Here is a 16,343-nt window from a genome sequence, read left to right on the forward strand (position 1 = left end):
TTAATTAATATTTTTGGAAATACTTCTACTCCCTGCCCTCTTTTTAAAATTTATTAACTTATCTATTTCTAGATGTTATTTTATATTCTTTTTCAAATATATGTGATCTTTTTCTCATGTCTTTATTCTATTTTTCTTTAGACATTAAAAAATATTTTATATTTTACAACATAATTTCACTATCTGAAAAAAATGGGGGAGTCTAATTCTGCTCTGTGCTGTTTCTACCAACTCTTGCCCAGAGTGGCTTGTTTCTTCCTGTTTTTTACAGTTTTGGATTGGGAGCTAATGCACACACATCTATTTGTGGGAATGCTGGACAGCCTTGGTTGAGAACCTGTTTCTTTTTATTTATTTCTATGTGATGCCTAGGAGTTTTACCAAGTTGGGACAACTTTATGTTGGTTTCTCAGAGGATAGAATTTCTAAAGCTTCATAGATTGTATAAACTCAAGCCCCAAACCTATGTAAGGGTAAACTAGTTGTAAATTCCCAAGGGAGAATTTGCTCCCCGCCAGCCCAGAGCCTCAACCAAGGTAGCTGACTTTCCTTTCTCGTCCACTCTTTCCCTGAGGGCCTAGCCCTTGATTTACCTGATATTAAGCAAGGGTGGGGATGGGGTAGGTCTCATTTCTAGCCTCTCACCCTTGTGAGGGATCCAAGGCCTTAATTTTTTTTTTTTTTGGTTATGAAAAAACAAAGCCCATAGAAGCTATGGTTTCAGGTTGCTTTTTATTTTAGTTTCTATGCTTTAAAAAAATTGAGATGTAACATATACTCAGAAAAGTGCACAAATTTTAAGTGCACCATTCAATGAACGTTTACATATGATACACCCTTGTAACTGTCTCCATGATCAAGATATGGAACACTTTCTGTATCCCAAGTGATTCCTTTGTGCTTTACTCCAGCCAGTTACACTTCCTTCCCACCCCTAAAAGTAATCACCATTTGACTTCTATCACTGTATATTAGTTTCGCCTGTTTTTGAACTTCATGTAAATGGAATGGTGCAGAATATATTCTCTATTTCTGACTTCTTTTGCTCAGTGTTATATGTATGAGATTCATCTTTGCAGTTGTGACACATTCGTTCTTTCATTTCAACTTCTCATTGCTGTATAGTATTACATAATACGGATTTAGTACAGTTTATTTGTTCATTCTACTCTTGAGGGCATTTAGATTGTTTATAGCTTTTGGTTATATACTAAGAATTCTTGTAAATTTTTTTTTGTGGACTTAAGCACTAATTTGGTGGATATATACCCCAAAGGGAAATTGTTGAGTCATAGATTATGAATATATTTAGCTTTAATAGAAATTGTCTTTTTAGAGTTTGTCTCTGAACTAGGAGCCAGACAAGTTCACGCATTACATTTGATTGAAATATCTCTTTAAGTTTTAAAAATCATTTCCCACTCCCCACTCTTTGTTTTGGCTGACAACTTTTTTATTGTGATAAAATATACTAACATAGCATTTACCATTTTAACCATTTTAAGTGTACAATTTAGTGGCATTAGGTACATTCCCAATGTTGTATAACCATCACAATGATCTATTTCCAAAACTTTTTCATCATCTCAAACTAAAACTCTCTACCAATTATACAGTAATTCTCCAGTGGTAGTGCTAAGACTCAAGAGTGTAAGTTGCTGGGCACGGTGGCTCACGCCCGTAATCCCAGCACTTTGGGAGGCCGAGGCAGGTGGATCACGAGGTCAGGAGATCGAGACCATCCTGGCAAACACGGTGAAACCCCGTCTCTACTAAAAATACAAAAAAATTAGCCAGGTGTGGTGGCGGGTGCCTGTAGTCCCAGCTACTTGGGAGGCTGAGGCAGGAGAATGGCGTGAACCCAGGAGGCGGAGCTTGCAGTGAGCTGAGATCTCACCACTGCACTCCAGCCTGGGCGACAGAGCGAGACTGTGTCTCAGAAAAAAAAAAAAAAGAGTGTAAGTCAAGATGCAGGAGGCAGAATTCTGAAGAGCATGCTTGTCAAGCAGTATGCCCAGTCACTTGCCCTGGAGTGATCTAAGATCTAGTAACAGTTGGGCTGTCTTCTCACAAACCTACCAGCAAGTGGCGTTATAGTGAAGCCAGAGTATGATTTGTAATGACAGGGCAAGTTGGATCACACTCCTGACTGCAATCAGTTTTGGAAACACAATATATGTAACATTAATTTTTTGAGACAAAGTTGGTTTGGGCCAAACTGTGGTTTCAGATCGTATTTGGGAATCAGGGCTATTTGCAGTCAGGGCAGTGTTCCTTGTCTTGGCGCATCCAAGGGTGGTTTAGGACAGATTATGCGAATTATTAAAAAGCTTTCTTCTGTTAGTTTCCAGTTGTTCTTTCTGTCCTGTGATCCTAGGGCTGATAGTACTTTCCTCCTTGGCCAGCTGGGTCCCTTTTAGGATTTACCAATGGGTGTGCTAGAAGGATGCTGGAGGAGAGAGAAGGGACTTGCTCTTTCCTGATTTGCCTCCTGTTCCTGACACTACTGCACCCACAACAACTCTTCACTCTGCCAACAGCACTTAGTCACAGCCCTGGCTTTCCCAGCCCTTCCAGAGCCAGCCCCGTGTGCCTTTCACGGTACCAGCATCATGAGGTCCCTCTCTGAGCTCCTGAGATAGCAGTGCTGGCTGGGCAGCCCCCTCACTTCTCTGCTCCAGGTTCTAATAACTCCATCCTCATCCCAAGTCCTAGGGATGCTAGCTTCTTCCTGCTGTAACTGTTATATCTCTGTGTGCCGTCAGTGTCCCTGTAAGCATTTTGGGTCCTTTTAAGGGAGGAGACCACCCCTCATATTGTCTTATGCCCAATTTCTGCCTCCAAAGAAAGAAGTAAAAACTAAAAGGCAGAAATGAAATCCACAGGCAGACAGCATGCACCACACCCTGGGCCTGGTAGTTAAAGATCGACCCCTGACCTAACTGGTTATGTTATCTATAGATTCCAGACATTGTATGGAAAAGCATTGTGAAAATCCCTGTCCTGTTCTGTTTCGTTCTGATTACCGGTGCATGCAGCCCGCAGTCACGTACCCACTGCTTGTTCAGTCAATCACAATCCTCTCATGGGGACCTGCTTAGAGTTGTAAGCCCTTAAAAGGGACAGCAATTGCTCACTCGGGGAGCTCGGTTTTTGGAGACATGAGCCCGCCGATGCTCCCAGTTGAATAAAGCCCTTTCCCTCCACAACTCGGTGTCTGAGGGGTTCTTGTCTGCGGCTTGTCCTGTACACTTTAACTGTGTTTAACCCATCCTCCATATTAAATTCTCTAATTTTATTTGTTACAATAGCTGGTGTGTCTTCCGTTTTCCTGACTGGAGCCTAACTGATAACTTCTGTCTCGATAGATCTACCAATGGAATAGAAAATCAAGGAAATGTTATGATCCAAGTTAAACACTGTTAAATAATTAATGAGTATTAGCAATTCTGTCAACAAAATCAACTTGGGGCTGGACGCGGTGACTCATGCCTGTAATCCCAGCACTTTGGGAGGCCAAGGCAGGTGGATCACTTGAGCTTAGGAGTTTGACTCCAGCCTAGCCAACATGGCAAAGCCCCATCTCTACTAAAAGTATAAAAATTAGTCGGGGGGCGGTGGTGGTGCATGCCTGTAATCCCAGTGAAAGGAGAGGCCAGCTAGGCTTCTTAAGTCGAGTAAAGGCTCAGAAAGCTGTGAAACTCACTCATTTCCTGCCTCAAGCCTTACTTTAGTCCTAGATAAATAATAGTGAAGATATATGCTTAAAATATTCCTAACACCAGGGTTTGTGCATGTTTTCTTCCCTAAGAAAGCTATAAACAGTGAAAATTTTGCTGTAAGCTTCCCTGTGTCCTCTCTCCCTCTCTCCCTTTCCCCTCCCCTGAAACTAAAAGGAATTTTAATTGCCCGTTTGTTTGTGACCAGCAGACCTTATCTATGCTTCCAATTCCAATTCCTTGTAAAAATACTGTGAGATCCTGTCTCCTTTACTACGCCGCTGCAAAGTCATAAAGTAGATGAAACCTAAGTTGCAATTCAGGTTTTCCTCAAGATCTAAGACATGTTAATTGTCTTTGTTTCTCACTCTAGTAACATCTCCCCGCTGCACATATTTCCCACCTTAAAAAGTTTAAAAAGTGATCAAAGAAGGTAACGCTGGCTACCGGCTGAAGACCCCTTCCACGCTGTGGAAGCTTTGTACTGTCACTCTGCTCAATCAAGCCTACAGCTTTTTTTCTCTTAGTCGGTGTCTCCATCACTCGCAGCTGCCACGCCAATTCTTCGGCTTGGCTAAGGCAAAAACCTTTAGCATTACACCAGCTACTTGGGAGGCTGAAGCAGGAGAATCGCTTGAACCTGGGAGGCGGAGGTTGCAGTGAGCCGAGACCGTGTCCACTCCAGCCTGGGCCACAGAGCGAGACTCCGTCTCAAAAAAAAAAAAAAATCAACTTTGCTCTATAGAGACAAAAGCACATTAGTGGTTGCCAGAGCTGTGGAGATGGGGAAATGGGGTGACTGCTAATGGGTATAGGGATGCTTTCTGAGGTGATGAGAATATTATGGAATTAGATAGTGGTCATGGTTGCACAAGTCTGTGAATATACTAAAAACCAGTAAGTTACACACTTCACAAGGTTAATTTTGTAGAATGTGGATTATATCTTAATTAAAACAAAATTTAAAAATCAATATAACTGTCTCCTAGTCCCTGGCGTACCCCTAAGGCACTTCTTTAGTATTCAGTCTGTTTCTTACTGAGTTTTAAGAATGGTCTTAGTCCTCAAGGAGTAGCGAGTCTTCTCAAGAAGAGATGGAGTCCTTATTAGGACAGGATGCTTTACTTTGTGTGGCCTCAACTGTTCATGACGTGTTATAGAGGTAGTATTTGCAGTGACATTATTTTGCCACTTGTTGAACATAAGAGGAAGGTGGCTGAGCCATTGGGTTGCCAGCTGACACAGGACATCTGTGCAGTGGAATGTGTATGTCTAAGTTTCTTACCCTTGGTATTGATGGCAGTGTGGGTCGTTGTGATTATCTGAAGTGGCCCAATTCAGCAAGGATTAATGAAGTTTGTTTTGCACGTGTTCTTTGATCAGAGTTCAGACACAGGGTTGGAGTTGAGGCACAGGGATTGTGTATGGGACAGTATCAGTGAAGATCCCAGCAGGGTGAGATACCGCAGGAGTCCCAGTGGTGGGAAGTCATCACCACCACTAGGGCTGAAGGGACCAGGGAAGAAAATTGTGCTTTCAGAGCCCAGTAAAAGCTGAAGCCATGTGGCAGGGCTCTACCAGAGATGCAGCCTCCAAGCAAGGAGGGAATGGGAAAGAAATACCCCACCTTCTCTCTCCTATAGCTCTCCTGTCTTCTCTTGGTGCCTCCTCTTGGGTTAAACCCAACTGGAAGTCAGAGAATGAGGGAGTCCCACAACGTAGGGCGTGGCAGAGAAAAGTAGAGAATGGTTGGCAGGACATGGAGTGTCTGGCAATATGGCTTTGATGGAGTGACAGGGATTATTCATAATTAAAATCATGTAAATAATTTCCACAATCAGAGCTCTTGGCACATTGCTGACTGCTGCTGCATCCATTTTTCCTTCCTTTGGGTTCTATGGAGAAAGTTTCCACCTCTCTTCAAAACTGAGGTCCTCCAAATGGGCTGTTGATTCCATGCCTACCTGTCTTCTCGGTGACCTTGTTCCGCCAGTTTTCCTTTCTCCTGTATCCTCAGCGTTGTCCTCTCCACTGGGTCCTTCTCTCCAGCAGTATCATATGCTCTCATGCTTTCCTTGCCGACAGACACTTTCCCACTTCTTCCTTTGCTTCTCATTTACAACCAGACTTCTCCAAATGCTCGCACATGCTATCTTCACTTTCCCATCTCCTATTAATTTTTGTTTCCCCAATTTCTGGCTCAAATTATTTCTGGCACAAATTATTATTTTTTAGCAGCCTTATTGAGATAAAATTCACATACCCTACAATTCACCCATTTAAAGTGTACATCTCAATGCTTTTCAGTATATTTACAGAGTTGCACAACCATCACTGCAATCAATTTAGAACATCTTCATCACCCAAAAGAAACTTCGTCCTCATTAGTCATTCTCCATTTCCTCTCAACCCTCCCAGCCCCAAGGCAACCCCAAATTTCCTTTCTGCTTCTATAGACATGCCTATTCTGGACATTTCATACAAATGGAATCATACAATATATGTTCTTTTGTGACTAGCTTCTTTCTCTTAGTGGAGTGTTTTCAAAATTTATTCATAGTAGCCTATATATCAGAACTTAATTTCTTTTTTTTCTTTTTAAAGAAACAACAATGTCTTGCCCTGTCACCCAGACTGGAATGCAGTAGTGTGAATATGGCTTACTGCAGCCTCTAATTCCAAGGCTCAAGCGATTCCCCTGTCTCACAAAACTTCATTTCTTTTTATTGCTGAATAATATTCCATTGTATGGTTATGCCACATTTTATCTATCCATTCACCAGTTGATGGACATTTGGGTTGTTTCCACTTTTTGGCTACTGTAAAGAATGCTGCTGCGAACATAAGTGTCTATTTTTTTTTTTTGTGGACTTAAGTTTTCATTTCTCTTGGGTATGTATACCTAGGAATGGAATTACTGGCTCCCAACTCCATGTTATACTCTTTGAAGAACTGCCAGGATGCTTTCCAAAGTGACTGTATCATTTTTCATTCCCACCAGCATGTATGAGGGTTCCAATTGCTCTACATCCATGCCAACACTTGCTATTATTTGTCTTTTTGGTGACAGCTGTCCTGGTGAGTGTGAAGTGGTATCTCAGGGTGGTTTTGACAAATGTTTCCCTATTAGCTAGTGATGTTGAGCATCTTTCATGTGCTTATTTTTATGTTTTTGAGACAGGGTCTCACTCTGTCCCTCAGGCTGGAGTGCAGTGGCGCCATCTTGGCTCACTGCAACCTCTGCCTCCTGGGTTCAAGCGATTCTCCTGCCTCAGCCTACCAAGTAGCTGGAATTACAGGTATGTGCCACCATGCCCGGTTAATGTTTGTATTTTTAGTAGAGAGGGGGTTTCGCCATGTTGGCCAGGCTGGGCTCAAACCCCTGACCTCGAATGATCTGCCTCCCCCTCAAGTGCCTCCCAAAGTGCTGGGATTACAGACGTGAGCCACCGTGCCCTGCCTCCTGTGCTTATTAACCTTTTGTATGCTTTCCTTCAGAAGTAGGTATTCAGATCATTTGCTCATTTTAAAATTGGATATTTGTCTTTTTATTTTTGAGTTGTAATAATGTTTTATAGATACTAGTTCCTTATCAGATATATGATTTACAGTTTTTTTTCTCCCAGTCTTTGGGTTTTCTTTTCAATTTCTTTATGGTGTTCTTTGATGCACAAAAGTTTTTAATTTTGATGAAGTCTAATTTATCAATTTTTTTCTTTTGTTGTTCTGCTTTTGGTGTCACATCTAAGATAACTTTGCGTAATCCAAGGTCATGAAGATTTATGCCTATATTTTCCTCTAAGAGTTTTTTTTAGTTTTAGTTCTGAAATTTTACGTCTATAATCCATTTTGAGCTAATCTGTTTGTATGGTGTAAGGAGAAGGTTCCGTTTCATTCTCTTGCAAGTGGATATTCAGTTGTCCCAGTACCAGTTGTTAATCCCATTAACTTTACTATTATATGGTATTGGAAACGTATGGAAAAATTTGTATGACATTCTCCCATTTGTTTTGTGGGTATATTCTTTTCAAAAGATTACTGTATGTTATTTTGTCGAGGTTTCTGGATATATCATGGGGATGCCAAGATAAACATGTGTGTTCATTCTGCCAAGTTAATTAGTGTGTCTGGTTCCTGAGGGGATTTCAAAGCTGGGATGTATAAACACATATGTCCAATCTGCCATGATCAGCTGGAATTGTCTACTTGCTTAACACTTATTTTCCCTGTTAGACTGAAGTGGCTTCCAGCCTCCGTTACCATTCCAGTGTTTAGCACTGCATTGAATAAATTGAAAAGGACAAACTGAATGAATGATGGAGCAAGGTCAGAAGAGTCGGTGGGTGTGGAGAGGATCACAGAATATCCTTGGATAGAAGGAGGGACACCATGTCTCCTGGGACTAAAAAATGATGAGAATGCATTCAGATACAGATTAGACAGTCAAGAAAGGAACACATAACACATGGGGGCAAAACATGGGGAATATGGGACTTCCCAAGGCTTTTCTGGAGAGAAGTTTGCATGGACAGACTTGGGATCCTCTGCAGTTGTGTTCTTGAAGGCCCAAAGTGGCTGCTCCTATGTACATTTTTTTTTTTGAGACAGGGTCTTGCTCTGTTGCCCAGGCTGGAATGCAGTGAACATGGCTCACTGCTGCCTCCTGGGCTCAAGCAATCCTCTTGCCTCAACCTCCTGAGTAGGTGGGACCACAGGCACGCACCACCATGCCTGGCAAAATTCTAAAAAATTTATTGTAGAGATGGGGTCTCGCCATGTTGCCCAGGCTGGTCTCAAATTCCTGGGCTCAAGCAATCCTCCATCCTCAGCCTCCAAAAGGGTTAGGATTACAGGTATGAGCCACTGCACCCGGCCCTGATTTACTTTTACGTTTTTTTTTTAGAGATGAGGTCTTGTGCTGTCACCCAGGCTGGAGTGCAGTGGCGCGATCATGGCTCCTGCAGCCTTGAACTCCTGGGCATGAGCAATCCTCTTGCTTCAGCCTCCTGAGTAGCTGGGATTATAGGCACAAGACACTGCATCCAACTACTTTTCTTTGTCCTAAAATGAGTGTATTTTGTGGGCATGTCAAAAGACTTATTGAACTTTATAAACTAGTTTTCTTTTCTGAATTTGACTAGTTCTCAACTTCTTCCTAAAGCATTTGCTAGTAGAAGAGTTTAGAAAGACAAAGTGCAGGCATTTTGAATCAGACAAAACTGGTTTCAAATAGTTTTTCCAACTACTGTGTGACCTGGGAAAATTTCTTACTCTTTCTGAGCCTCAGTTTTCTCTGCTGTGAAATGGGGACCATAATATTACTCACCCCATTACTCATCCCAAGATCAGTGTTTAACTAAATGAGTTAATATGTGTAAAGCTCTTAAATTGATGCCTGTTATACAACACCATGCTCAATTAAAAACTTTATCTAATTTAACTCTCCAAACCAATACTCTGGATTGTCTTCTTTTGAAACCACATCTCAGTTTCAACTTCTGGCATCATCTTCTCTCCACCCCTTCAGCCTTCTTTCTTTTCACCTATGTGAATATCAAGGTAGATTTCTATGTGTGATTGAGTCAGGGATAGGTCAAAGATGGACTTTTTCATCTTTCTGCTGTTCTTTGGGCCTTAGCAGCTATGCTTTTAGCCATTGACAATTTTGAATCTGAAGCATTATGCCATTTTCAGCTATCTCTAGCTTTTTTTTTCAAGTGAAGTTAATTATAGTTTTATAAATTAAAGTCATAGGACTAATTTTCACAGTGTTACTTTTAAGTATCTGGAAAATAATAGTCATTTCTTTATTTAACAGACATACACAAAAGAATGGGCTGACATTCTAAACCACAAAAGTAAGCATGTGGAAGAAGCTGTCAGAGAACTTATATCAATATTTGAGCAGATTTATGAAGTGAAATACACTGGGAAAGTAGGAAAACAGTCAGGTAACTTTTCTCGTTACTGTGTTTGAATTACAAGATCTACAGATTCGTTCTTATGTAAGCACCTTCTGCTTAGCAGGTACTGAATTCCAGACCCTCCCTTCCCCAGAAGCAAAGAAGGTGTTCAGCATAAATCACATTGTTTGTACCAACAGTTTAAGCCCAGAGAGTTCTTTTTGTTAGTTCGGGAATGGTGGGAACCCCTCTCAAATCCAAGTTCCCAACCCCGGTCCAGCGTTGCAAGTTGGCCTTCCTATGGATAGCAGTCTCAGGCCTGCTATGCTAACTCTATTTTTTTTTTTTTTTCTGGTGCAGCATTCTTATCAAGTCACTTTGACTATTTGATTTATTTTACTTTTTTTTTTTTTGAGAAACATAAACCAGGAAAAGGTAAATTCTATAATTTTCTTGAATCTGGAAAACTTAATCTGGGTGAAACCATGTTTTAAGACTTTTTTTTTTTCTTTTCCTAGATCCTTCTCTGTGTAGAGTAAGCTATGAATTCCTACTTACAACTATCTTTGGGGTTTGGGTACAGATAAATGGTACCCAGTTGAAGAGTGCACTCTCAAGGAAGAAAACATGATATGGAAGCATGTATTCTCCACCATCCATTCCCCCTCCCATGATTAAAGGATGCCCTAAAAGGCTCCTAACTTTTGATTCTGCCCACACCCTCATAACCTTCATTCAGTTGGCTTGACTGGGACTAAGAGAAACTTCCTTACTTCATCACATCTGTTCAGGCAAATTTGTATGACAAGGTGCCTGCATTATTTAAAGTGGATGAAATAATTTTTACCCTATTGAATTTCCTGTTATCTCAATAGGTTCTAATAGTTTCAGTTTTATTAATAAGCCCGAGAGAGAAGCTGTTGAATTTGAATCCCCTTTATCAGGGGCAGGGAATTTTAAGAAAAGATTCCCTAGTAGGGGAGTGTTTTGCTTCCTAGATTATGGTTTAAGAACACGGGACTTTTAGCTTTGCTCAGATTATTGTCCTGTCCTAGATATAACAAATCTTTGGATAAATTGGAAGAGAAAGACATATTTCATTTTAAAGTTTTGTTTTCAAGCTCTAAATAAGAACTGATTAGGTAAAACTTTGTAGTTGGAGGTTTTACTTGTTAGTATTGTAAGGGGATGTGCCTGTCAGTCACGATCCCTGTTTACTACGCACCTGCTCTTCTCCCCAGCTGCTGCTCAGGGAAGTAGTGTGAGGCTGGCTTCGAGCAAGGCTAGCCATTGACTGCACCAGTAGTAGGTCACTGACACAGAGTGTGCCACCCAGACTCTCGAAGGAGACCTGAGAGATGGCACTGCCTTACAGGGATGAAGTTAATTAGCTAATTACCAACATATTTGAAGTAGGGAATCTGTGGGAAGCTGGCTTTTTGGAGTGAGAGAACATTCCAGTCAAGCAGAGATCCCATGAAAGTGACATAGCAAGAAGAGAGAGAGAGAGAGAGAGAGAGAGAGAGAAAGAGAAAACTGTGCCTGGAACAGTGGTTCTTAATGGGACTGGAAGGGATTTTGCCCCCAAGGGAATATTTGGCAAGGTCTGGAGACATTTCAGTTGTCACACAGTGTGTGTGTGTGTTGGGGGTGGCCGGGGGGGAGGGGGTGGGTGTTGCTACTGGCTTCTGGTGGATAAGGGCCAGGGATGCTGTTAAACATCCTACAGGACAGCCCCCAGCAACAAAGAATTGACCCACCCAAGATGTCAGTAGTGCTGAGGATGAGAAAGCCTCAGCCTAGAATGAGTATGCACATCACATCTTTCCTCTTAGAGTTTTTCCACTTAGTTTAATTAGTTTCATCACAAGCGTCAAAAACACAAAAATATTATTTCAGTCAAGTTGGAAAACTCAAAAGATAGACAGATAATTTACAAAGATAATAGGTAAAACTCTCTTAAAACTTTTCTGAATTCTAGATTGTATATTTACAGAGTGTATTTCTTAGTAGAATGACAATTCTATTGAGGTGGATAATTTAAATTGAATTCAAGGATGACTCCTAGAGGAACAAATGCGAAAAGCATTTTTCAAAAAACAGTTTTAAAAGTAAGAGCTTTTTAAAAAGGAACTTCCTAAGAGGATTTGGCCATGTAGAATACAGACAATGCTAAAAAGTCAAATGTTATATTTTTGTTTTGTCTTTTGTCTATAGAACAGCGGAAACACGTTGTTTTTGGAAGTGAAACAGGAGAGGGTGAAAACAATGACTATGAAGCTAATATTGTGAATGAGTTTGATACTCATGATAAAGAAGATGAATTTAAAAAGGTATTTATTGTGGAACAACTTCATGCAATTCACAGAATTATGGTTTATAGGATTATAGATAACCCCATATGGTGCTTTTTCCAGGCAGTTCTGCAACCAATCTAATTTCTAACAAAATACAGAAAGTATAATTTTCAATTTTATACTGTAGGATCAGGCAATCCTTTAAGTTTTCCCCAGTATCACAGCTTTTGATGTGATTCTGTCAATTACAGTTTATGTAGTCACCTCTCCTCATTGTGATTGACCATGTTTTCTCATATAGTAAATGTGACGTCAGGGATTGGAGCAGCTGATCCGTTTGACTCAGAATGGAGAACTTTGTTCTCAGTTGTTGTGTTTAATGGTTATCTGTATTGCAAGTCCAGATTGTGGTTCACTTGGGGCTCAGGGATCTGCATTTTAAACTAGCATTATGGATGACCACTCTGGACTCTCCCCCAGGAGAAGCCCTAGATAGGCAGATTTTCACATTGAGTTGAAATGTGTTGAGAATGAAGGTTCAGAAGGGGGACTGGGGTTTCTTTTTCCTTCTTAGTCCTCACCCTTCTGGTCATGCATGAGCTCTGAATGTCACTGTCACATTTGCACTCATTCCTGCTTTCTCCTCCCCGGGTCAGTTTTCTTTTAATCCTTCATACCCACCTTCTTTTCATTCTTTTTCTATTTTACCCACTTTTACACAATCTGATGCAGTTTTAGAAATAAACAGCACCCATTTATTCCACTTTCACCTTCTTGCTCAAGGATGATATTGCCAGATAATTGGGAAACACTTTTCTGCAGCATCTAGATTTCTGCAGAGTTTAGGCTTCTCAGTACCATGCACCAGGCAGCTGTTAGCAACCAGCAGGTGTCAGCTGGAGCACTCCCCTCTCAGAAGTGCCTGTCTTTCAGTTGCATTACCTTTTGACACTGGCTGAAGTCCTTAGAGCATGACTGAGTACCCTCAGAACCTCTCCAGTTGGGGGATCACTGGAGCTGTGCTAGTGGTCACCTCATAAATAGCCTCTGCCTCGCAAATTCATCTCTCACATTGCTGCCAGAACGGTCTAACATAAAAATCTGATTATGTTCAGGAGGATGAGGCAGGAGAATGGCGTGAACCCGGGAGGCAGAGCTTGCAGTGAGCCGAGATCGCGCCACTGCACTCCAGCCTGGGCGACAGAGCAAGACTCTGTCTCAAAAAAAAAATAATAATAATAATAAAAATCTGATTATGTCACATCTGTGCTTTAGCTTGATAGTTCACTAGCCCTGACTGTACCCCACTGCCACATGGAAAATCTTGATATTCCTCTTTGTTCATGCCTTATTACTCTCTCTTCTGCCTCACCAACCCAGTCTCAGAGGGGCCGGGTTCTAGAGCAGTGAGGAACAGTATGGCCAGAGCCTTGCCCCGATGTATGACTCATTGTGTAAGCAAGACATGGGCCCACATCTCTGCCTACCAGGCTCAAAACCTGTCCTGTGCTCTGATCAATAAACTTGGCTACTTCTCCCAAGGGAAGGAAGGGTGTGGAGAGAGGGTCAAACCGCTGTCCCAGAGGGTGGAATTTTCATCTCATATATTTGAGTATTGCACATTTTAAAATACATTTATCCACCAAGCTGAGCTTCTTGAGGATGGAGACTAGTTATCTTCTTGTGCCCATGCCGTTAATCATTGAGAAATGTACCACATTTAAAGTGCTTCAATTTTGTTAGGTGAAAATTGAGTATTGAGCAAGCCAGGATTACTCTGAACATACTGTTTGTGAATTTTGGTTTTTGAATAAGTCCCTCTGGTTTGCTAGGGTGTTTATGCAAACACATTTTTCATGTATTCTTATTTGTCTAAAAAAAACAGACAAGTAATTTAGGACTGAATTTATTTCTACAATATCATTGAAATTGTATAGTTTATTATTTGTTGCCTTTCACATGCCACATCTAATATTCTGTCATTGTTTTGGGGATGCTCTAGGTTTTTTGGAGGAGAGATACCAAATTTAATCTGATTTCTTATTACAGGAGTGTAAAGAGGTCTTTGCTTTTTTCTCTCATCAATTACTAGACAGTCTTCAAAAAGCTACACGGTTATCTCTGGACACAATGAAAAGAAGAATATTTGTTGCAAGGCAAGTTGAAAATATGCTAATTATGTCTGGTAATCATACTTATAATGTGAATAGCACCTCTTATAAATTTATTAATTAAAAAAACTATAAAATTTAAAATATAGCATTCATTAAAAGACTGTATGAAAGTATTTGTGTAATACTGCAAGAACTGTAGTTAAATGAACACCCATATTCCCAACACCCTGCCTGAGACAAAAAAAGGCTACCAGTCCCCTCATGGGTCCTCTCCCTTCTCACCTAAAAGTAACCACTATCCTGAACTTGGTGTTTATCATTGTCTTGGTTTTCTTCACAGTTTACTATGCTTTTGTATCCCCAATCCACGTATCATTTAATTTTGCCTGTATTTGAACTGTGCTTGGTATAATGTTTTTGAGATTCATCCATGGGGTATAGTTTTTTACACTTCTATGTAGTTGGAGTATACGTAGTCTGTTTATCCATTCTACTGGTGATGGTGATTTGGGTTGCTTCAGTTTTTGCTATCATGAATAAAGCTTCTGTGAGTACCTGCCACCTGTTGCACCTGCTAGGAGTGGGTTTGGTGGGTCCTAAGGTATGTGCATGCCTCATTTTACCAGGCAGCACATAGTGAGAGTACCCATGGCCCCTCATCCCTACAGACAGTATTATTCGGTTAAAAAATTCTTGCCAACATACAGGGTGTGAAATGGCATCTCATCAGGATTTTGGTTTGCATTTTCCTGGTTACTGATGAGATTAAATATACTTTCTTGTGTTTATGGGCCATTTGTTGTTTCTCTTCCTTAAAAGTTGTGTTCCTAGTTCAACCACTGTGGAAGACAGTGTGGCGATTCCTCAAGGATCTAGAACCAGAAATACTATTTGACCCAGCAATCCCATTACTGGGTATATACCCAAATAATTATAAATCATTCTCCAATAAAGACATATGCACACGTATGTTTACTGTGGCAATGTTCACAATAGCAAAGGCTTAGAAGCAACCCAAATGCCCATCAGTGATAGACAGGATAAAGAAAATGTGGCACATATATACCGTGGAATACTATGCAGCCATAAAGAAGAATGAGTTCATGTCCTTTGCAGGGAAATGGATGAAGCTGGAAACCATCATTCTCAGCAAACTAACACAAGAGCAGAAAACCAAACACCGCATGTTCTCACTCATAAATGGGAGTTAAATAATGAGAACACATGGACACAGGGAGGGGAACATCACACACCAGGGCCTGTCAGGGGGTGTGGGGATAGGGGAGGGATAGCATTAGAAGAAATACCTAATGTAGATGACGGGTTGATGGGTGCAGTAAACCACCATAGCATGTGTATACCTATGTAACAAACCTGCATGTTCTGCACATGTACCCCAGAACTTAAAGTACGATTAAAAAAAAAAAGAAAAAAAATTGTGTTCCTTTTTTGGCCTGTTTTTCTATCGAATTGGATTAATTCATAAGTATTCTTAGTATATTACATTATTGATGATAATATAACAAATGTCTTTTGTCAGTTTTGCCTTATCTTTTCATTTTCTTTATTAATTTTCATTTTCCATTGCTGAGTTTTAAAAATATTCAAATTTATCAGTTTTAGTGATTTGTGATCTGTTTAAAGAAACCAACTCTTCCCTACTTCATAATGTCTTCCAAAACTTTTGTAGTTTTGACCTTTATATTTAGGGTTTTAATTTACATGGTATTGATTTTTATGCTTAGTGTGAGGTAGCAAATTAATATATTTTTTTCCATATGGTTAATTAGTTGACCAAGCAAAAGTTGTTGAAAAATCAACTTACTTGTGAGGTCAGGTGGGGGAGTTATTTAAGTTGCATTGTATCTATAGATCAATTTGAAGAGAATTAGCATCCTTACAAATATTGAGTCTTCTATTCAGAATTATGTATTACCTCTTCATTGATATGTCTTCTTTAATATCTCTCTGTGACGTTTTATAAATCTCTGTGTAAAGGTCCTGCACATTTTTGTTAGATTTATTCCTTGGCTATTCATTGCTGATTTTTAATTTAATTGTACTGTTCAATTCTCCCAGTGTGATTGTGGATTTATTAAACTTTCCTTTTGTTTCGGTCAGTTCTTGTTTTATGTATTCTATGGCTGTGTTGTTAGGTGCATACAAGGTCGTAGTAGCTAAACCTGCTTAAGAGCACTTTTCCTTTTATTTTTATTTGGCAAATCCCTTTATCTGTATTAATTCTGATTCCTCACAATTTAGTTTGTCATTACTTTACCAACCTTTTTTGTGTAATTGTTTCAGTCTCTT

At 40.3% G+C, this 16,343-nt stretch overlaps 1 protein-coding gene across 10 annotated transcripts in view; it reads left to right on the forward strand.

Moving 5' to 3' along the window:
* The window catches only part of DNAH8 (dynein axonemal heavy chain 8), a 315,482-nt gene that overhangs the window by 78,331 nt on the left and 220,808 nt on the right, over positions 1–16,343 (forward strand). For all 10 annotated transcript variants that reach the window (XR_926078.3, NM_001206927.2, XM_011514319.3 and 7 more), the window contains 3 exons: positions 9,538–9,670; positions 11,840–11,955; positions 13,969–14,075. Coding sequence is in view for 9 of the 10 variants with exons in the window: in NM_001206927.2 (NP_001193856.1) it covers positions 9,538–9,670; positions 11,840–11,955; positions 13,969–14,075 (356 nt within the window). In the remaining variant the exon portion in view is untranslated. The remainder of the gene's footprint in view (positions 1–9,537; positions 9,671–11,839; positions 11,956–13,968; positions 14,076–16,343) is intronic.

Source organism: Homo sapiens, chromosome 6, assembly GCF_000001405.40.
Source record: "Homo sapiens chromosome 6, GRCh38.p14 Primary Assembly".
In the NCBI taxonomy this organism is placed as follows: domain Eukaryota; kingdom Metazoa; phylum Chordata; class Mammalia; order Primates; family Hominidae; genus Homo; species Homo sapiens.